We start from the raw sequence: 22,547 nt of genomic DNA, 5'->3' as shown, positions 1-22,547 counted from the left end.
CACAGAAGCAACTCTGATATAACAGAAACCACAGAGAGGAAAGAAGAAATAAACCAAGACACGCCAGCATAGGAGAAATAGGCACATACAGAAGGCCAATTTACCCTCTCAGTCCTAGGCAGATTGAGACAGCAAACAATTAGTATGAATAGTACTAGCCTACCATATTCATTATGCAGAAGATCTAAACAATGTAGTGAATAAGGAAGGTTTTATAGATATATTTCAAATTCTGTACTCCTACAACAGACTCCATACCTTCTTTTCAAGTATATAGTCACAAAAAAAGACCATATATTAGCATGTAAAGAAAGCCTCGGTAAATTCCAAAAAGTATAAGTAATACAAGCCACCCTCACTAAGTGCAATAAAACTAGAAATTAATAAGAAAATAAAAAACAACTAAGCACTTCCACCTGGAAAAATAAAACCATCTGTTAAACAACTTGGGTCAAGGAAGAAATAAACAAAATTGCAGAATTTCAAAAATTATAAGGAAAACTCAGTATATCAGAAGCGATGACATACAGCTAAACTAAAACTCAGAGGAAAAAAATTATACTGTTATGAACATATATCACCAGAAAAGAAAATAACTGAAATATATGTAGAACTCAGAAAGCTAGAAAACAACACATGGAGTCAAAAGGAATGAATAACAATGTATGCTGTTCTGTAGATGTGGGGAGAAGACACACCTCTCTCCACATGCCTGGGTGCAGTTGAAAGAGCACAAGCCGTATCTGTGCATTGAGGGTGTGTGTAGAATTCGTGGGGGGTGGGGTATGTATATTTGGTGACTTTTTCCATTTCTTTTGTACATATTGGCATATTCTGGTTTTCTACATTTTCTCTAGTCCACTGTGGAACATTCAGACTTTTGTTTTAAAAAAAGTGTTCATTTAATCAAAAGCTTAAAATTTCAAATTTATTGGTCCAAAGTTATACACCATATTATCTTAAGAATTGGCACCGTGAAGGCAGTTGTGTGGTTTCGTGATTTCTAAGGTTCTTTGTCTCCTTTGTTTTTACTTGGGCGGACGTTAACAATTCTTGGCTACTTTATTGGGCTTTTCTAAGAACACTTTTGTCTTTGTTGTTTGAATCTACTTTTACTGTTGATGTGTTTTATACTTTCTTAATTACTTCTTAACTTTCCCCTTCTTTTTGTATTGTGAAAATCACTTGCAAAAAGTGAAAAAAGCCCATATAAATGTACCTACACTGTCACAAGCTACAAGCCAGAATCTTACCAGCACCTAGAGTTCCCAAAAAAACAAACAACAAAACCCCCCAGAATTTCCTATACATTCCTTCAAAACTCAGCCCCCTCTTCCCTCCAGGGGTAACCACTTTTCTGACTTTCATGATAATTTCCTTGCCTATGTCCATGTCCCTGGACAGGATAGTTGGGTTTTTCCTTATGCTGATGCTTTGAATTTTTGGGTAACTGTCACTGTTCATTTCTGTTACCGTGTAGTCCTCTACTGTGAAAATTACAAGTTATTTGGCTGTCCTTTTGATGACATTTGGCCTTTGAAAAATAGTGCAATTTTTGGCTGTCGAAAATAGTACAACTGTGTACATTCTTGCCCATTATCCTGGTGTTCAGGTGCACAGGTTTCTCCAGGGTGTATACCTCGGAGCAGGACTGCTGGATCATGGGGCATGGTTTATATTTAAATGAACTAAATAATGCCACCTTGGTTTCCAATTATATCTCCGACATGAGTGAGCCCTGGATCCTGATTTCCATCCCTCTTGCTTTGTAGGGTCACCCAAACTGTCAAACCTCTTAGGATAAAAGTAATTTTGGTGTTCTGGGGGCTCAGCTTACCTCCCTGAGTTCTCTGTTTCATTAGATTTTGCACTGATATTTCCTTACAGTATTGATAACTTTTTATGCATTTAAGGAGTATTAAAGTTAGCCGTTGTCTTTAGTGGAAGTGTTGGTCCAAATAATCTGGTATGTAATATGAGAAATGTGAAGCCTCTGTTTTTGTCCTTATTAATTACTTCTTTATATTTACTTGAGATTTTTGAGTAATTTTTCTAACTTCTTGAATTGAATGCTTAATTTGCTTTTTGTCTTTCTTATTTCTGAAAATACATTCAAAGCTCTAAATGTGCCACTGAGAACGGCTTTGCTCGTGACCATGGGTTTTAGTACGGAGTACTCTCATTATTTGAGATTTTTCATTTCGGTTTTTATCTTTGCTTGCATTCGTTAGTTATTTGGAGGTTTTGTCCCGTGCTTTTGAGTATGGTGACATTTTGGGGCCATTGTTTGAGTATTCATTTCTAGTTTTATTGCCTTAGGTTCAGAAAATGTGGTCTCTGTGATTTCTACTTTTGTGGAATCTATTGAGTTTTCTTCATTCACTAAAGCACGGGCATATTTTCAAATAAATATTCCACAAGAGCTTGAAAAACACATAGATTTTCCATTTGTTGTGGAAGAAGCTCTCTTTATATCTCTGTCCAATCAAGCTTTTACATTGATATTCTAATCTTCTCTTTATTAATTTTTCACTTTATAATTTTTTGTGGCATCTTAAATTCTCACCCTATGGCTGTGAACATGTATGTTTTTTCTGCTTTCCTGTTTTTGTTTTATATTATTCAGTTTTACATATTATAGAGATATTTTATTTAGTATACAATATTAGATATATATTCTGTTTTATATACTTTGTTTTATATATTTTGCTGTTATGTTGCTCAATGTGTGAGAGATATTTAACCAAGAGGGATTATACTTTTATATAAAATATAATTCCTTGTCTTAAATTTCCTTTCTGTCTTGATTTTTGGTCTGATGCTAAGTTTCAGCTTCCCCGAATAGACAAGGCACTCTTTAATGATTTCCATTCCTCCATCTTCTATAGGTTGTTAATCTAATATAAAGTTTTAGTTCCATATTATTATCTGCATTACCCTCTCACCTTTTAAAAATACCTACCATACCTATATTATAAATATAATTGTAATTGTAAAAAATAGTATTTTTAAAATTATTTCTTAGATTCGCCATCCTTTTAAAAATTAGATTCATTTTTCAAAATTTGCCAGTATAAACCTTCAAGTTACTCCTCCTCCTCTTCTTTTTTTCTCCTCCTCCTCCTCCTATTTCTTCTTCTTCTTCCTCTCCCTCTTGTTCTTTTTGAGACAAGGTCTTACTTTGTCACCCAGGCTGGAGTGCAGTGCTACCACCACAGCTCACTGCAGCCTTGACATCCTGGGATCAAGCAAATCCTCTCTCCTCAGCCTCCCTGGAGTAGCTGGGACTACAGGCATGCACCACCATGTCCAGCTAATTAAAAAAAAAAGTTTTTTGTAGAGATAGGTTTTGCTATGTTGCCTAGGCTGGTCTCCTGGGCTTCAGCAATCCTCTTGCCATGATCTCCCAAAGTGCTGGGATTCACAGGTGTGAGCCACCATGCCCAGCCTACTCCTCTAAAATGGTTGATAAATTTTCTGAGTCCCTGAATGTCTGTAAATATTCTTATTTTGACAACTGATATTTAGGCTAGGTATGAAATTCTAGGTACAAATTTTTTGTCCTTGTGCTTGACACATTGTTTCACTATCTTCAAGGGCCTATTTTTGTGGATTAGACAGCCGCTCCAATCTAATTTTGTTCCCCCTAGGTAGCTGTCTACCTACACGTAGGGTCTCTAGCTACTTTGAGGATGAATGGAGGAATGGGCTCATTTTTATTTTTATGTTTTGTAGAACTCTTGATCTCTTGATTAACCCTTTCAATAAGATAAGACAAAATGAAACAAAACTCACGACATTTTTCAGCACAGGGAGAATTACTCCATTAATTCTTTATTTTCTCCCTCCATCATCCTGTTTTCACCTGACAAGTCTATTAGATAGGTGTTAGAGCTTCTGAATCAGTCTTTGTTACCTTTCAAATTTTCTCTCACTTTTCACCTTTGTCCTTTTGGACTGAGTTTTGAGAGACTTTTTCAATTCTCCATCTTCCTATTTTGATATTTGGCTTTGTCTTTTAATTCTTATTGAATTTTTCAATCTAGAAATCATATTTTTTAATATTTATAAATTTTATTAGATGAATTAATGGGTATCCTAGCATATTTCTCTAAGCTTGTTAATTTTACTTAAAATTTTCTTGTTTCCATCATTTATCTTCCTTTACCCCTCTATAACTGGTACTGCTATTTCATGCCATTTTTCTCCAATATTTGAATATTCTTAATTCTTCATTTCATAGAAGAGATTATAAGCCAAATAGTATTGATGACTGCAGTGTGTTACCTAGGCAGCGACTGCAAATTCTGATTCTAGGAGCACTGGTGGAGTCCGCTGTTATGCGGAGGACTCAGCCAGGTGAGCTTCTTTTTAGGGAACATTAGCAGCTTGTGAGTCCTCAGGATTCTCATTCTCAGGGGAGTGGCCAGGGCAGTGGTCAGTTATTGGTGGCAACTCCCAGTTTCTCTGGCCTTAGACCACACTTTGAGGACATCTTTCTCAGAAATCCCACTTAAGAGAGCCGTATTACTTACTCTCTTGATTCTGAGGGTTATGAGGCTCAGCTGGGCCATGCTTCTACTCCCTGTGCCATTGGCTGCATCTGCAGCTGCCTGGTATTTCAGCTGAGCTGGAAGGCCCCGTGGGGACGGGCTCAGGATGAGTGGGATCCTCTTTCCCTGTGGACTCTCCACATGTGGTCCCTCTAGGTGATCTCCTCAGCAGGGTAGCTGGATTTCTTCCTGTATTCCATCATGTAATGGAGTCACAGGCCACCCTGGTTGGATGAGGGAGGTGTCTGACAAGGAAGTGAACACAGCAAGCTATGGCTCCTTGAGGACCAGCCTTTAGCTTACTGGAATTTGCCATCAATCAATTTTTATGTGTTCTGTATTTTTCAGAATTTCCTTCCTGTTTCGATCTATTGACAGTACCCCTCTGGTCTTCCAGTATGGTAGTGAGTTTAAAATATATCTATTTCTTCAGTTATTTCAACAGGATTTAGAGAGAGATGAGAGAATAATAGGTCTTCAGTCAGCCATAGTAATTAGAATCCTGTTTTCTAATTTTTAAATAGAAGAACATCGATTCCATTAGTAAGTCAGAAATACAAAACAAATTTTCAGACGTGGTTGTCCTTATAACTTGCATTGTTTATCATTGTCTCTTTTTAAAGGAAAGCAATTGAATGTTTGCACTATTATCTATTTCTTTCTATATTTTTATTCTTTCCTAAATTTTACCTACAAATTAGAGAATTTCATTTGTTTCTTGACTTTTCTCATCATCACTTTTCCAGTAACTACTGTGGCTTCATCCCTTTTTTTTTTTTTTTTTTTTTTTTTTTTGAGACAGGTTCTGGCTCTGTTGCCCAGGCTGGAGTGCAGTGACACAATTATGGCTCACTGCAGCCTTGACCTCTTGAGCTCAAGGGATCCTCCCACCTCAGCCTCCCAAGTAGTGGAGGCCACAGGTGTGTGCCATCATACCTGGCTAATTTTTTAATTTTTACTTTTTGTAGAGATGGGGTCTCACTATGTTGCCCAGGGTGGTCTTGAACTCCTGGCCTTAAGTGGTTCTCCCACATTGTCCTTCCAAAGTGCCGCAGGCATGAGTCACTACACCTGGCCTCATCCTCCTATTTTATGCATGATAACAAAGGTAAGGAACACCATGAATTGAGTATCAAGGTTTTGAAAAGATAGCCTCTTTCAGTGTGTGTGTTTAGCCTTTTTCAGTGTGTGTGTGTGTGTGTGTGTAGTGCATGTGTGTGTGTGTGTTTGGAGGCTTTTGAGATGGAGTTTTTCGTATATACTAAATCACAAAATTAACAATATGATAGATTTTTATTCTTTCTGCAAAGTAATTCTTCATTTATATGTAAGGTAAATGAATTAATTCTCACAGAAAAGCAAAACAATTTTGTTTTATTTCTGTGAACCAAGTTAGCATGAAATTCTAGCTCTTTTTGTAAAGATGGTTTTACCAAACCTCAGCTTAGCAAAAAGTGAATGGAAGTATATCTTTATCAGGGAATCTTGGGAAGACACAGTCATCTCTTAGATAATGATGTCAAAGTATTGAAAATGTGTTTAGATCGATGCTTCTGTGTCTGGGCTGCTGGAGAAGATCCCAGAACCCCGTGGATGAGGGCTAGTATAAATTTATGTCACCTGCCACAGTGGGCCCTCAGAACCACGTGGCGGGCATAGTGTGTGTTTCTCTTACCAGCTAGCTTCCTGGCTCTCCCAAACCATGATTTGAAATGTTCTCCGCTTGTCTCAAATTGTCTTTTTCTTATTGATGAATAAAATCCCCATGTGTTAAGAATATTAACCTTTGATCATATTATTTGCAATCTTTCCCAGATTTATTTGTCCCTTAATTCTAGAAAACATTGAAAACCATCACATCAATCCATATTTTCTTTGTGAATTTTCTATTATTTTACCGTTTTTACATTCATTCATTGCACAAATTCATTGGGGTAAAAAGACTATTATTCTCCTCTTATGGAATTTATAGCCCAAAGATGTAAAAAAAAAAGTCTTATTTTTAAAAATTGGCTTATTTATTTCTTATTTACTCACTGGATTATTTTTATCCATCTGGAATTTATTTTGTTCCATCATGTGCCAATAACCTATGTCAGGTTTTTTAAACACTATTTTCCGAACACTTTTTGCTAACTATGGCTATTTGCATACACATTTCTTTCTCATAATTTGTAACTCTCCCTTTTAGGTGAAAAAACCATTAGATAAATGAGAGGTTTTGACAGAGAGAGTTTCCTTTTATTGTTCTCCCCTGCCCCCTACAATTTCTTAGCTCTTTGTTGCTATTTATTTTTATTATAAATTTTAGAATGATTCTGTCACGTGCCATAACAATCTCCATTGGGATTGTGTCTGCATTCGCATTGGTCTTTTAAATTAACTGGGAAAATATTCATCTTTACTGTATTCAGCCCTCCCATCAATGATCATGACATATTTCTATAAAATTCTTAATATCACCCAGGAAATATCTGTGGTTTCCCATTGAAAATTCTGTATGGTTCTTGCTAGGAGTCATCCTTGCATTTTATGTTCTTGTTTGATCTTATGAAAGTCGTTTTCTCCCATTACATCTTCTAATAAGTTAGGAATTAATTTTTCTATATTCAACTTGTGTTGGCCACTTAACCTGCATATTAATTCTAAGAGATTTTATGTGTGTGCTCACGTTATTTGCAGTGAATGATTTTGTCATTTATAATTGTTTATTGTGAAGTATTTCACATGTTACTTCATTGGATAAATCAGAACAATGTTAAACAGTCATAGTGATAACAGACTTAGGCCTGATTTTAACAGGAATAAAGTTGATATTTTTGCATAGCTCCATGTTATCATCTCAAACGATAATGTCTACCTTATTCATATAGTAAAGAAGTAGAAATAATGCAATTACTGTGAAACATTATATAAATATAAGGTGGTGATGTTATTTATTATTAAGATATTAAAAATGTGAGGATCAGAAGGCGTTCATTACCCTAAGAAACACCCATTTCTCATTTTCATGGATAAACTCAAGATTAGTGCTGACTCTTGAGATGGAGCTTGGTCCCTCCCTGTTAATTATCAGTAAGGGGAGTCATTTCTAGGTAGGCATGGAAAAACCGATGCGAGACCATGCTCACTTATTAAAATATTCTCTGGTTTTATTGTCCAAATTCAAATTCACCTAAGATTCCAAGTCTAATCATCTTCAGAGATAACAACAGAAGGAGTTACTAGAATCTTATCTGGAATTCAGTTTCTGCAGAGCAGTTCCTATGTTTGACCTAGCTCTGGGAAATTGTAGTGGAGTGGGGCTGATTCCAGCCTAGTCTCCCTACTTAATGCTGCGGGATCCTGGAAGAAGATCCTATGGGAATGCAGCTGACCTTCCCGCTTAATTTCATTAACGGAGGCTCGGTGAGCAGGGTGGAAGCACCCCCTGCCCTGCTGGGGCCACCTCGCTGAAGGTGGGTGGAGGCGGCGCTGCCTCCGGGCATATCCATCCACAGGCCACTGAACGGAGAACGGCCTGCACCTTCCCCTCTGATGAGGCTTCTCAGGTACTTGTTAGATTGCTTTGCTCTTCTTAATGCAATTTTTCAGCTACTCAACATATTTGTTCTTGAGCAATTTAGACACCAGTTCATGTTTGTAAAGAAAATATTCCCAGGAAAAGTCTCTGGAGAAGTATCTAGTGTGTGACCGTTTTATGATAAAACGGGGCAGGTGGTCATCAAGCCTTCATGCATAACTGCCCTGCCACCTTTGCAATCTCGCTGGATGCCACTGGCCATGTTGGTAAGCGGGCTACTCCTCTGCTTAAAAATGAGGACGAACTCCCCAGCTTCTTGGCCGAGCCGATAAAGCTAGCAACAATAAAAAGAAACAATGCATAATGTTCATTATACTGCTGTGTGGGGAGTTTGTTTAAGACTTGGGCCCTAAATGGTTTTTAATCCCAGGATGCACTGATTGCGATGATGGGAGAGAGGCGGCCCAGCCGTCAGTTATAAAATCATTGCAAATATGAGCAGAATAAAAAATGGTGAAAGGGATCTTGTTACAGATTCTGTTTATTCCATGAGGATTTGAGGAAAGCAAATAGGCAGTGATTCTGTTTGGAACTTGTTCCTGAAAGATTACCTTTTATGTAGGTAAGTCAAAAGGTTAAAGAAGTAAACAGAATTTAAATACAGCCAGTTTTAGTAGTTTTTCTATTGTTTGACTAACACAATAATAATAATAAAAACCCTGCAGGACCTAGCCAAGAATAAAGAATCCTTAAGATGTAAGAGCTGTAAAATCTTGCTAGGGCTTATCTGTAAAATACCATTTTGATTTTGGGTCTAGAGAAGTGCTTTGGATCTCAAATGACAATAAATCTCTACAAGTCCAATAGTGATTTCTGCCAGCTTGTGCCTGTAATGGACAATGTGGCCGCGTATTATGAAGCCGTGATTAAGGAATTGGGGGAAAGGGTGAGAGTGATTCTGGACTTTATTTTGGCACCTTGCACAGTTCAACGTTACCACAATTATTGGTTTTCTGAAATATGTCCCTATGCATTATTCTGATCAGATTACTTGCATTGCACAATTCTCTGGTGAATAACGGGACAATCGCACAAAATAAATCTCTCTCTGAAATTTAATCTTCCTGTCTGTACACTGTTAAGAAGAACATCTACTGTCCTCTGATAAGGAGTTGTATATCTTCCCTAACTGAAGTGGGTTTTGTTTTTTAATTATTCATAATGGAAATTCACAAACAGGCAAATGACCATGTCGTTGATGTTTATGTAAGGAAGAGGGTGTTGAAATACAGCTTGTGTTCTCACAAGCCCTGTGTGATGAAATTCTAATTTCTTTTGTAAAAATGCCATGGGAGACTGGGTTGGGTGGTTTATTCACAGCTTTACTCTTTCACCCCCTAGAAGTTCCTAGCACTATTCTTTTCAAAATCTGCCTCCCTGTTGAGGTGGTGGAGCCCATGGAAGCATCCCTTGTCACTTGGCACCTTTTCCCCTTCTCGGCTCTGCGAGGCTGCCCTTATTTAGAGGGATGAGCAGATTTCTCTTGAGCTGTAGAATTTCTCCTGGAGAGTGGGGACTGTCCTAGGCAGGAAAACGTGGAATATTTGTGCCAAAGATAGAAGAACGGCCCTGCCTTGAGTTCCTTGAACTGTGGGGCACATTCTTGCTGAAAATGAGTGATGGGGGAAGAAGTCCTGTAAAAATAGGACCGAGCTCACAGCCGAAGCCCTTGGTGTGGCAGGATTTCCTAAAGACCCGCTCTGTAGAATAGCCAGAAAAAAAACACCATCAGGACATTCAACTATCAAACCAGGAGCTCAGCTCCGATGGCCCTCTGTTTATGAGGAAGCATCACATCTTGAAGTCATTTTTTCCTCTCTTTCTAGAAATCATATTGTCAGAATGCTGCCAACCCTCCTGACTTGGGTGTGTGCCTCTTGGAACAGACTCATATCCTGGGGAAGTATCCAGGAAATGTTTATTCTTTATTTCAAACTTAGCTTTTAGAAAATATAGAAGAAAGACACGTTCATTATTAAAGAAAGCAAAGAGTACAAAATCTGTTATATGAAAAGGTTCCCCCAACACCCTGGCCAAACCATTTCCCAGTCGCCCCAGCTCTTCTCCCCAGAGGTTGTCGTATGGAGACCTTCCTCTGGACTCTTACAGGCATTGGCTTTGCACATACACGAGATGAATAATATTATAGCATTTTACATACTCCCTGAACCTCGCTGTTTCTTGCCTAACATATTTTAGACATTTTTTTTTTTTTTGCTTTTCTGTACATAAATTCAACCTGGTGAAAATTAAACCTGCTTAGTATTCCAGCAACCAATTTATTTAACTCGTCCTCCATTAAGACACGTTGTTTCCCATTTTCCATTATTATGAACAAGAGGAAGGCAAGAACAAGGATAATGCTTAAGAGTGTAAGTCCGGTTACAAAAGGGACTCAGTTCAAATCACAGGTTACCACTCACCAGCCATCTACTTATCCTCTTGGAACCCAATTCCTCCCCTGTAAAATGGGAATAAATGAAACTTATGCCACATAGTTGTTGAGAGAATAAAAATCATGCACACAAAGTGAAAACATCAGAACTTTGCAGACAGAAAGCTTTTTCTGTATATTTTTTGGAATAAACAGGTGTGTGTGTGTGTTTGTGTGTGTGAAAAAGAGAGAATTTTTGTGCAATTAAGTGAGTGCATTTGTAAGACGAAGCCTCACATGTAGAACTGCTGGATCAAAGCCTATGTGCACTTTAACTTTTGAGGAATATTGCCAAATTACCCTCCTCAACCAAGGACCCAATTACCCTCCTCAACCGAGGACCCATTCATACTGTTTTGAAGAAGCTTTGAGTGTTCTTTTCCTCATCCGATTGCCAGAACTGGACATTCACTTGCTGGTAAGCCTTCACAAAACTAGAGTTGAAAGTGCCGCTTTTTGCTTTGATTTGCGTTTATTTACTTACAGTGGTTTCATATCTTTGTTGTATTTCTTCTCTCAACAGCCTGTTCATATCTGTGGACATTTTCCTTTTGGGTTGATCAGGTTTAAAGGAACAAACAAGATGTGTATGAATTACTTTTACATTCACAAAATCTCCCTTTTACCTGTCCTAAGGTTGTGAGCATTTCATTTTATTCCTTTTCCTTTCTTTCTTTTTTTAAGAGAGAGGGTCTCATGCTGTTGCCCAGCCTGGAGTGCAGTGGTGTGATCATGGCTCACTGCAGCCTCAACCTCTTGGGCTCAAGCAATACTCGCACCTCAGCCTCCTGAGTAGCTGGGACTACAGGCACGTGTCACCAACGCTCCGCTAATTTTTTAAGTTTTTTTGTAGATATGGGGGTCTCACTATGTTGCTCAGGGTGGTCTTGAACTTCTGGCCTCAAGCGATCCTCCCATCTTGGTGGAGTTAGGATTACAGGTATGAGCCACTGTGCCTGGCCTCATTTCTTTACTGATTTCGTATATGGCACTTTTGCTTTACAGAATTTTAAACATTTTATTTAGTCAGTTATCAGTCATCTACTTTACTTGGCTTTTTTTTTTTACAACAATTATAACCAGTTTAACCATTTTTGGTTTATTAGGAAAAACCTACGCTTTTTAAATAACTATCATGGTTTTATTTATGAAGTTAGGTATTTGGCCCAAATGAAATTAACTGATGAATATATTCAACTGAGTTGAAGCAGTGATCCATTCCTCCCTTTCCCCAAATTGTTATTCATTTGTTCTAACACAATTTATTTTTCATCTTTCTCTCCAGTGTTTGAAGTGGTTACATTATAAGAGGAAAATTATTATATGTATTTGATTAGTTTCTGGATTTCTGTTGCATGTATTTACTTAATAATCCTTTGTCCATATCATATTGCCTTTTAAATAAAAGCTTTTTAGATTATCATGCTGTAAAGTTGAATTTTTTTCTTTTAGTGTAAGGTTTTATGAATTTTAGCATATTTTGTATGTATCAAGTGCTTTAAATAGTGTCACTTTTTCAGATGTTTTGTTAGTGGAGATCGTTCTTCTCCTAAAAGCGTTGCTCGGCTATCTTCCCATACAGTTGTTTTAGAATAATTTTGTTCAATTCTAAAAAAAATCTTGATTTCTAAAAATCTATTAATTTTTGGAGAACTTACTTCTGTACTCTTGGGCTGCGGCCTCCTGTTTATTAGTCTTCTTTTATGTCCCTTCATTGAGTTCAATGTTTTTCTACCGTGCATGTTTCTTTAGTTTATACCTAAGAATTCTCATCTAATTTCTTGCTATTGTGAATGGGAAATCCTTTTCCAGTTTGTTTTGAACTATTTTACGTTGAAAAGAGTTATTAATTTCTGAAGAACAATTTCATAGCCCACAAACTTACTCATGTTTTATTATTTCTAATCGTTCTGGTAACTTGATTTTTCCCCAGAGACGCACCATGTTTTGTTCATCTCCAGTCTGTGTAGTCGTCTCTGATATATCCTGCCTCCCACCTCCCTTCGGTTTATTTTTTGTTCTTACACAACTTGTTGAGTTGGGGACTTGGCTTATTCTTTTTCAATTTTTCTTCTAAATGCACTCAAAAATCTATTTTTCTCCAAATATTGCTTTAGCTATGTCCTATAAGAGTTCCTGTTTTGTTTTTTACTGCTCATTTCTAAGTATTTGGCTTTTAATAATGTATATTAAATAATAGTAGTAAGTAGTAATGAATAAGTAAATAATGATAATTTATAATTACAATTTTCTTTGCCTTTTTGTTTCTCATTTTCTGCCTTCTGTTTGATTGCTCAAGTTTTCATATTCCCTGCTCTGTTGGATTGTAAACATTCTGTTGTTTTAGTAATTACTTAAATTTTTTTGAACACAAATATCTCTATCCTCCTCTAGAAAAATACAAGAACTTAAGACTATATTAGATTTTCTTGTGTTGAGTAATTTCTTTGGTAAGTACTATTACAAAAAATTGAGGAAGAGCAGGAACATTTGTTCTGTTTTTATTTTATTGGTTATGCTTCCAAACATCAGCATTAAGTATCATGATAGCTTTTGATTTTTGGTGAGTGATGTGTGTGTATCTGTGTTGTCTGCATGTACACAATTTAAGGGTGAATCTAGTCAATTTCTTGTTTTTTTTAAATCAGAAAAGAACTTTGAATTTTATAAACTTTCCTTTTGACGTGTGTTTATCAAATGTTCTCCTTTGTCTATTGATATGTGAACTACATTAATAGATTTTCTTGTCTTGAATCATCTGTAAAATAGTGATTGAAATTGTATCTATTTTTTATTCATTCTTGCAAAAAATATTTCCTGTGCAGCAACCATGTGCTATTCCAGGCACCAGGAATGTGCAGAGGAAAACGTCAGCCCTCGCCAAGCTGACATTTGTATGCGTGAGTGACAGACAGCAAATCACGAATAAACAAGATACTGGACAAGCTGCAGAGGTAAATAGCACTATGAAGGAACCAAGAGGGGGATATGAGAGACCTCATGGTATCGCTGGGAGCATTCTGAGATGCTGTGCTCCACACAGAGTTTCATGCTTGTGGGCTTCTTGCTTTGATATCTTGTTCACCTCTGCTGTTCCTTTTGCTGGCATTCTTTTAGTCTCAACTTTTCTGGGTAACTTTTTAAAGATGTTTCTTACATACAGCATATGGTTGAATTTTGATTTAATATAAATACTTTTAATAGGTCAACTTATCCAATTTAAATTTATTGTGTATCTATTATTATCTGTAAAATGATGATTGAAATTGTATGCATCTGTATTCATTCTTAGGTCTTTTTAGAAATTGTCATGCATGATTTTTTATTGTTTCTAAAACATTTTAAATGTTTTGTTTTTTATCTTTGGCTCATACACTCTGTGTGTGTGTGTATATGTATATGACAGAGAGAGAGAAAGGGAGAAAGAGAGTGAGAAAGAGAGTGAGAGGAAGGGGTTGAGGGAGAGAACCCCTGTCTAGCATTTGGAAGGGCTAAAGTTCCTTTTAGTTCTTCTAGTGCTCACTTTTATAACTTTAAAGAAATGCTTACATTTCTATTTCTTGATTGATCAACTCCAAATAGTATTGATTTACCCCAATCTATGAAAGGTGGGAAAATGGATGGGCTTATACTTCTTGTTCTCTCTCCTTGTCTTTGGATTTGCATAGCTATAATTTTAATATTGTTGCTTTTTAAAAAAGCAATATTTACTTGCTGCCTTTACCCCAAAATTCTTGCAATTGCTTTATTTCAATTCCGTATTTAAACACCTTCAGTGCTCACCCCAGTCAGTGAGTTTATTCCCATTCCTACTTTTCTCCTTTCCCTGAATTCCAGTTAGCTTTTATTTATTATTTATTTATTTTTGCATGAAGGGCTCATGTTTGCTATACTGAGGGTGTTTTCTGTTCACTATAGACATAAAGAAACTGGCTGCCTATAAAACCCTTCAGTTACGCTTCTTCCCCTCAAACTTTGGGCCACTGTGTTTCTCAACCTGTGAATGTTTGAATCCCCTGCTTAGGAATCAGCAGAGAGATCTGTTTCAAGTGCAGATTCCTGGAGCCATTGGATCCTCGTGACTCGGAGGCTCTCCGCGTGGGCTTGGGGAGCGCTGTTCTTTCAGAGGAGCTTCCTGGGCTGCCCCTGTGCAACTGAGGTGCAAGAATCTGTGAGGCCAGAGTTGCTCTGTGGCTCCCGGCTCTGAGAGGCGTGTCTGATGTCCCCAGCCCATGAGGATTTTCCCTTTGTTAGCTGATTTCCTCTTTCTGCTTTGTTGTTCTTACAGGTTTAAATTTTTTTTTTTTTGAAATATAATCACTTCCTCTGTATATGTCTTGATGTCCGCAGGCTTGGATCTGGCTTTGGGGATCAGGCCTCGCTTTGGTTTAGGGAAGCATTCCTTCCACTAGGCCGTCGAATAACTTTACCATCCGTGTTCTCTTCTCCTCCTGGTCCTCCTCACCACCGGTGCTCTCTTTCTCCTTGCTCTGAATTATTTTCTTTGGAGCGGTTGGCAGTATCTGAACTTTGTTCATTTTCTTGCCTCTTACCTGTCTTGTACCCACTAAAATGTGAGCTTCCTGTGGGCTGGTGGCTTCTCACTGCTAATGTCCAGGGTCCTAGAACAGTGTCTGTACAGTCGAAGCTGATTATTCAAAGGATGTTAGAATGAACATATGCATAAGTAAATGAGTGAATTTGCCGCATCTGTGTTGGAACTCCTGTGTCTTTCTTGCATATCCATCACCTCCTTATAACCCTTTTTCTCATGGAATTTCCCACAGGCTTGTCCTCTGTCCTCCTGCATTCTTGGCACCTTTGGCTCGCATTCTTGTGGCTTTAATTGTGGTTTTCGCTTCCGTAATAGTTTTATGTTCAATTTTATCCTCTATGGTTATTCTGTATTTTTATCTTTATTCTGTAATGTTTTCTCTTTTTATTTCTTATAGTTTTGTTTTAAGCTATTTCTTCCATATTCCATTTTCTTTCACATTTACAGAGAATTGAAAGAAGGTTTTGCTGGGATAATTTTTTTTCTGCTTTTTGGTGCATTTCTTTGAAGGCACACACTTTGTGGGACTTTTCCCTGAAAGGTCCCATTCATCTCTTCGGTCGCATCTTTGCAGGCCTTCATGGGAAGAATATTGTTCACCTTTGGCTGGGGACAGTTCTACCAGGCCCTGCTATTTACTCAAGAACAATGCAAAACAGGCCAAGGAGCATGCGTCCACAGAACCATCACCCGGTTTCACATCCATTCCACATCACCCCTGATATGGTTTGGCTGTGTCCCCACCCAAATCTCATCTTGAACTGTAGCTCCCATAATCCCCATGTGTCATCAGAGGGACCCCGGTGAGGTCATTGATTCACGGGGGTGGGTTTTTCGTGTGCTGTTCTCATGATAGTGAATAAATCTCACGAGATCTGATGGTTTTATAAAGAGCAGTTCCCCTGCACACACTCTCTTGCCTGCCACCATGTAAGATGTGCCCTTGCTCCTCCTTCACCTTTGGCCATGATTGTGAGGCCTCCCCAGCCATGTGGAGCTGTGAGTCCATTAAACCTCTTTTCTTTATAAATTACTCAGTGTTGGGCATGTCTTTATTAGCAGCATGAGAACAGACTAATACACCCTCTGCCAGGAGCAGGTTTCTTACCTTTCCTGTTCCTCACTTTGGCACGGCTTGGTGAGTCTCACAGGGAAGCTCACACCTCTTTTGCATTGTTGATTTTTGTTTAACATCTCTGGTGGGTAGCAGTGAAGTCAATTGTTGTTTCCCTTCTCTCTTACATTTATTTCAATTCCAGGCTCTGCCTTCAGGTGGGTCTTGGAAAGCTGACCGTGTTTCCCTGGAGCCCCCATTTCCAGCTCGGCCTTCCTTCATTCTGCTTCTTCCCAGGTTATTCAAGACCTTCTCATTTTTTCCCGACATCTGTCCCCTGTTCCAGCTCTTCAGAGATGCTCTGGCCCAGGTGTCCACCACAGATGTGGTCATGCCTGTTACCCATCATCTATGATTTGAGATTGTGATCATTTCCTACCTTCACTGAAACTGGAGTTGATATTCCAGCTTTTTTGCTTACTTCTGATTGGTTTCAGAACAGGAAGCCTGACATCCTTTTTGCTGAGGCCACTTTGAAAACAGTGGAGAGTCCAGTGGGCTGCGTTCAGTTAGACCCGGGATGCGGCTCGGCCTCGTTCAAGTGCACCGCACTGTAGATCCACGTGTCCCTGAGAGGTTCTTACATGACTTCGCTAAAATTGGAAAGAAGTTACAGCCAGCACGAGCATAGTGTTTGTAATGATTTGTTTTGAGTAACTTGCTGGTACTTCAGGATTCCGCAAATGCTGATAATTTGTGAATAACTGCTGGAGGCAGAGAAAACCAACATTTAATGGATACCTACTAGGTGATGATTGCTTTACATCTGTTATCATTCAGTTTAATCTTCACGACAGCCCTACTAGCTGGGATCATCATCTGCATTTGGTGCATCAGGAAACTTGCTGGAGGCTGCCTTCCCAGTGGGAATGTGCTTCTGAGGCAAGTGCCAGTTCTGCTGTACCCAGAGGTCCTCTGTGCAGAGATGTCTCCATTTCCATTCCTTGCCTTTCTTGGCAACATTTGGCCTTGGCAGGGCCTAGGTGAACAAAAAGTTTTCCATTGTGTTCATCTTTATGGATGTCTTGACACAGAGGTTGCCCAGGGACCTTACCTGTGGGTTAAGGCTGTGGGACGGAAAGGATTGGCGCTGCAGTTAAAATCAGGTGCTCAGACCTCACCTGCCTGTTGTACCATAGGGAAAACTGCTGGCTATGTGAACAGGAGGGTAGAGAGGAGGCACCTTATGCATTTAGATCCCCCGGGACCCTTTTATGTCTCGCCACAGGCTGCATCAGTAGCTCTTTGGGACCTTGGACAACTATCACCTTGCCTGGCTGTATAACCTTCACTGTGCACAGAGGGTGCTGGCGTCCTGAGTGCCCTCATTGCTACCGTGCACAGAGGGTGCTTGCGTCCTGGGTGCCCTCACTGCTGGCTGAATGGTTAATGAATCCATGACAGAGTCAGCAGAGACTGAATTCACAACACACACCTTTGAAGACTCATGTGTGCTGTGAGGACTCTGCCACCTTTAAGTCTACAGTGAGGGACTCATTACGTTTGCTTAAGACTTGGTTACAGGTGGCCACCATAGTTGTGGTCCTACGTCTTTCTATGAAAAACAGTGAAGTAATAACTACAACCTGCTTTCAATTTGTTTCGTATATGTGGGATGTTTCCCCCGAGAATAGCTTTTTTACTTGAGGAAGAGTTCAAGAGGGTGGAAGGAGATGGGTAAATTGTAGGCAGTCATCTCCCCCACCCCCAGAAGCCCCGTCCTAATCCCTGGAACCTGCGAATATGTTACATTACATTATTCACATTACATTACATGGTGAAGGGGAATTAAGGCTGCAGATGGAATTAAGTTTGCGAATTCCCTGACTCTATAATAGGGAAACGAGCCTGGACTATCCAGGTGGGCCCAATGTAATCACAGGATACTTGAAAGGGAAGAGGGAGGCAAAGAGGCCTCAGAGACATGCCACGTGGGAGGGACTCAGCTCAGCACTCTGGCTTTAAAGATGGAGGAAGAGACTAGGAGTCAAGTCACACAGGAGGTAAAGGCAGGGACGTGGATTCTCTCCTGCAGCCTCCTGGAGCAACGCAGCCCTGCCAACGCCTGGATGTTAGCCTGGTGAGAGCCATGCCGGATTTCCAGTCTGTAGAACCATACGGTAATAAGCTCGTGTTGTTTTTGGCCAGTTAGTTTGTGTAACTTAGTACAGCAGCAATAGGAAACCGATATGTAAGTGAACGTGCAGTTTGAAGGAGCTGGGGTTGGCGTTGAGTTTGTCCACTCTCACTTCCCACGTGGGACAAGTACTGGTTGAGGCCTTCCCTGGGCTGGCCTGGACTGTGAGTGAATTATCTGGGCTTTCCTCTGAGTTTAGGAAGGCTTCTCAGTTACTGTTGCTTGTTATCCCCCCAGTCGGGAGGGGAAGAAACCAGCATGGAAGAGCATCAGTTGCCTTGGTAGGGAAACTACCAACCGTGTTGAGAAAATGAAAGAAAAGCAGTTCAGCTCATTTGTGACTATTTAGTCTCCGATAAAATCGCAGAGAACTGTTTGGGTGGTTTTCAGCAGCAATTGGATAAGGATTCCTAAATAGCCTCCTTTGGTCCTTCATTTGAGATTCTACAGGCATTTAAAAGTCTTCTCTGAATGTGGAATACATTCACATTCTTCACACAGCTGCAGAAGTGTATTAGCATTTTTGTTTTGCCTTCAAAGTTCCTTCTTGACCAGCTAATAATGATAGCGGTTCAGCTGAAGGAAAGTACACATGCACACACGCACACACAAGCATACACACCCCTCCATGCACACACCCCTCCATGCACACACCCCTCCATGCACACCCCCCATGCACACCCCCCATGCACACCCCCATGCACACACGCCCCTATGCACACACCCCCCATGCACACACCCCCCATGCACACACCCCTCCATGCACACACCCCTCCATGCACACCCCTCCATGCACACACCCCTCTTTGCACACACCCCATGCACACACCCCTCCATGCACACAGTCCCCATGCACACACCCCACCCACTCCCACACACATGCAAGCACACACATATGCATGCCACACATATACATGCACATATACATGAGCACATCCACACAGGCACGTGGGTGAATGTTCATACTTGTAGGATTACCTGTGCTTTGTAATTTAGTCAGAATAGCCTGCTACAAATATTTTTAAATTTCAAACTTTTTTTGTTCTTACTGTGTGCCAAAGTGCTGATCAAGTGACACTTAAATGTGTCATTTCGGTTAATCCCTAAACTTTTATAAAATAGATAACATTATTATGCCCACTTTGCAGGTGAGAAACTAGCCTCCAGAGTCTAAGTAAGGTTGGTGTAGGGGAATCAAGGCTGTGGATTAAATTAAGGTTGCAAATTCCCTGATTCTGAAATAGGGAAATGAGCTTGGACTATCCAGGTGAGGGTGATGTAATCACAGGGTCCTTAAAAGGGGAAGAGGGAGGCAAAGAGAAATCAGAGATGCCACGTGGGAGGGACTCAGCCCAGCACTCTGGCTTTAAAGATGGATGAAGAGACCAGGAGCCAAGGCACACTGGAGGAAAAGGCAAGGAAGTGCCTGGAAATGCCTGGTCTGTGTGACTCCATTGTGAGCTCCTACTGGTTTTGTGCTCATAATGGCCAGATAGTTGGGTTTGCCCCCTGGCTCTGCCACTTTTTAATAAACGCATGACTGAAGGCGAGTTGCTTAGTCTTTGTGTTCTAGTTTTTTTGTAGAAAATGGATATGATAATAGTACCGACCGCAGAGTGTTGTTTGTGGATTAAATGAGAATGCAAATCAAGCTCATGGAACAATGTCTAGCATCTAGGACATCTTCATAAAATGTTAGCAGTTGTTTTCACTGTAGGGCTGACTTTGTAAACTGTCATGTCACCTAGTGTACCAATGAGCCATTCGTGAAAGTTGGACAAAGCTTGTTTATGTCAGTCTGAGTTTCAAATAAAACAAAATGAAAGTCAGTAGATAAATGGACATTATAATAGCTTGCTTTTTTTATTCCTTAACCTGGTCCCCACAAAAACCTTATAAAGTCAGTATGACAGTAATTACTATATTTTTGTTAAAGTTGTGAAAACAGGCTCAGAGAGCTAGCAGGACTTGACCAAGTTTAGACAACTACCAGGTAGGAGAGTCAGATTCTCTGCTACCAGATTAAATGATGACTCTTCATCAACACTGTCCATCCATTCCTCTTTTTATCCATCCACTCACCCAACTGTCTAGCCATCCACTCATCCATTCATCCATCCATCCACCTGTCTATCCATCCATTCATCCATCCACCCACGAACCCATCTGTCTGCCCATCCACTCATCCATCCATCCATCCACCCACCCACCCACCCACCCACTATCATTTATCACTCAATGTGCAAAGCAATACACGGGCCACATACTTCAGAAGTGAGCATGGAGATGCACGTATTTATTAGATCTTGACTCAGTGGACTCTTTCTTATATGAGTATAATGACTTGAGTAGGTTTTCTTCTCCTGGGTCATCTTTAATTTGTGCTCAGTCATTTCTGCGTGTTTTTCTTGAACTTAGTCAGGAAGCATGTCTGTTTTAATGTAATACTATGAGGCCTTAATGCTTTCTGTTGGTGGTGTGAAAATTGATGCAGAGAATTTAAAAGTTTTATTAGTCATTGAATATTGTCATGAATTTAGAGAGAAAAGTGTAATGAGCCCATCTGACTGGTGTTTTGGCGATTGTCACTTGTGGGTGTGGCTAGACAGTCATTTTTCGAAGGCCATGTGGGGGTCTCAGGCCTGATCTCTGACTGAGCAGGTGCAGAGTGCCTGCTCCGGGCTGCAGCCTGCACAGAGAAACCTCAGATGTGTGCAGGAACAGGGGAGGAAAGCATGCCAAAGCTGCGAGTTGTCAGTTAAGGGGAGAGACGCCACTGACTATTGACAACTCCTGTTTCATATAGATGCTTCTCGGCCTTTGCTTGAAAACGTTTTCACTCTATTTGGGTTTCAAGAACTTTCTGCATGAAATCTCCAAACTGAGATTGTATGCATTATTATAGCCGGCTTTGCAAATTAGCATATCTTGCAGACATATTAGCTCATTAGGACAACCTACATCCATCCCTAGAAGGCGAGCGTCAGCTGCCATCAATATTCCACTCGCAGGCGAGAGAAGGTGGTGACGGGAAAGCTGGAGGAGGGCTTGTACCTGTGTTGGCTGACTGAGACTCTTTACCCTCTTTAGAGGACCTGGCTATGAATGCATCTGAAGGACTTACTGAAAATATTTTGAGCTTTATGAAAATGCACTTGAAAGACTTGATAAAAGTCTCCCCGACCCAGAGGGGAGTGGGGAATGCACAGAGAATACCCGCTCATTGCCGTGGACTTGGCCACCCCACTCCATTCAGAACAGAGCCTGTAGATTATTCCTGTAAGTTACTCACATCATTCTGGTTAAGAATTAATTCTCAGAGTCCAGCATTACCGTGGCCAGATGCTTAAATATTTCTGAGAATGTAAAAGCATGAATTGGATAACAGAAGTACATTTTGAAGGAATGGTTCTCAAGGTTGGGTCCCCAGACCACAGCAGCATCAGCCACACCTGGACGTTTATTAGAGAGATGCACATTCCAAATCTCACGCCAGGCCTAATAAATCAGAGATTCTAATGGGGTTTGGGGCCAGCCCAAAATATGTTTTTATAAGCTGTCTGGGGGATGCTACCTGTACCCTTGAATTTGAGAACCAATGACTCAGGGGAAACAACAGAAAACTGAATAGCCCTTCATTCATAGCTGATCATAAAGAAGTCTGTTCTTTTATTGAGGAAATTGTTTTTAAGTCAATTAATTGGATTTATCATGGCTTACATTTTATCCTTTAAAATTTAAATTTTTAAAATATAGTCGAACTGTTTTATATTCATTATGATCATTTTACAGATACCTTCTATTTGTATTGCCTTATATTTGACATTTCATTATGGTGGTAGTAATAACTTTATTCAAAAACTATTTTGAAAAAGCAAATTATTAGATTGTAATAGTATAGCTGGTACTATTTATGTCTTACTCTTTTTAATATTTTCTGTAGTGAATGTATATTACCTTTGTCATCAGGAAACAATATGTATTCTAAATATAAGCAAATCAATAGGATTTAGAGTGTGCTGCTAGGTGGATAAAGGCGATAGAATGCTGATGGGAGGTGGATGCTTCTAGTGTTTTTTCCGTTTTTGTAATTAATGTTTGACTGAATCACTAATGGCATTTTAGCATAAAAAATGGAATGTGGGACTACTGCCCTTCAAAACCTTACTGG

Source organism: Homo sapiens, chromosome 10, assembly GCF_000001405.40.
Source record: "Homo sapiens chromosome 10, GRCh38.p14 Primary Assembly".
NCBI lineage: Eukaryota > Metazoa > Chordata > Mammalia > Primates > Hominidae > Homo > Homo sapiens.
The sequence above is the reverse complement of the archived record's forward strand: the minus strand, read 5'-3'. Positions refer to the sequence as shown.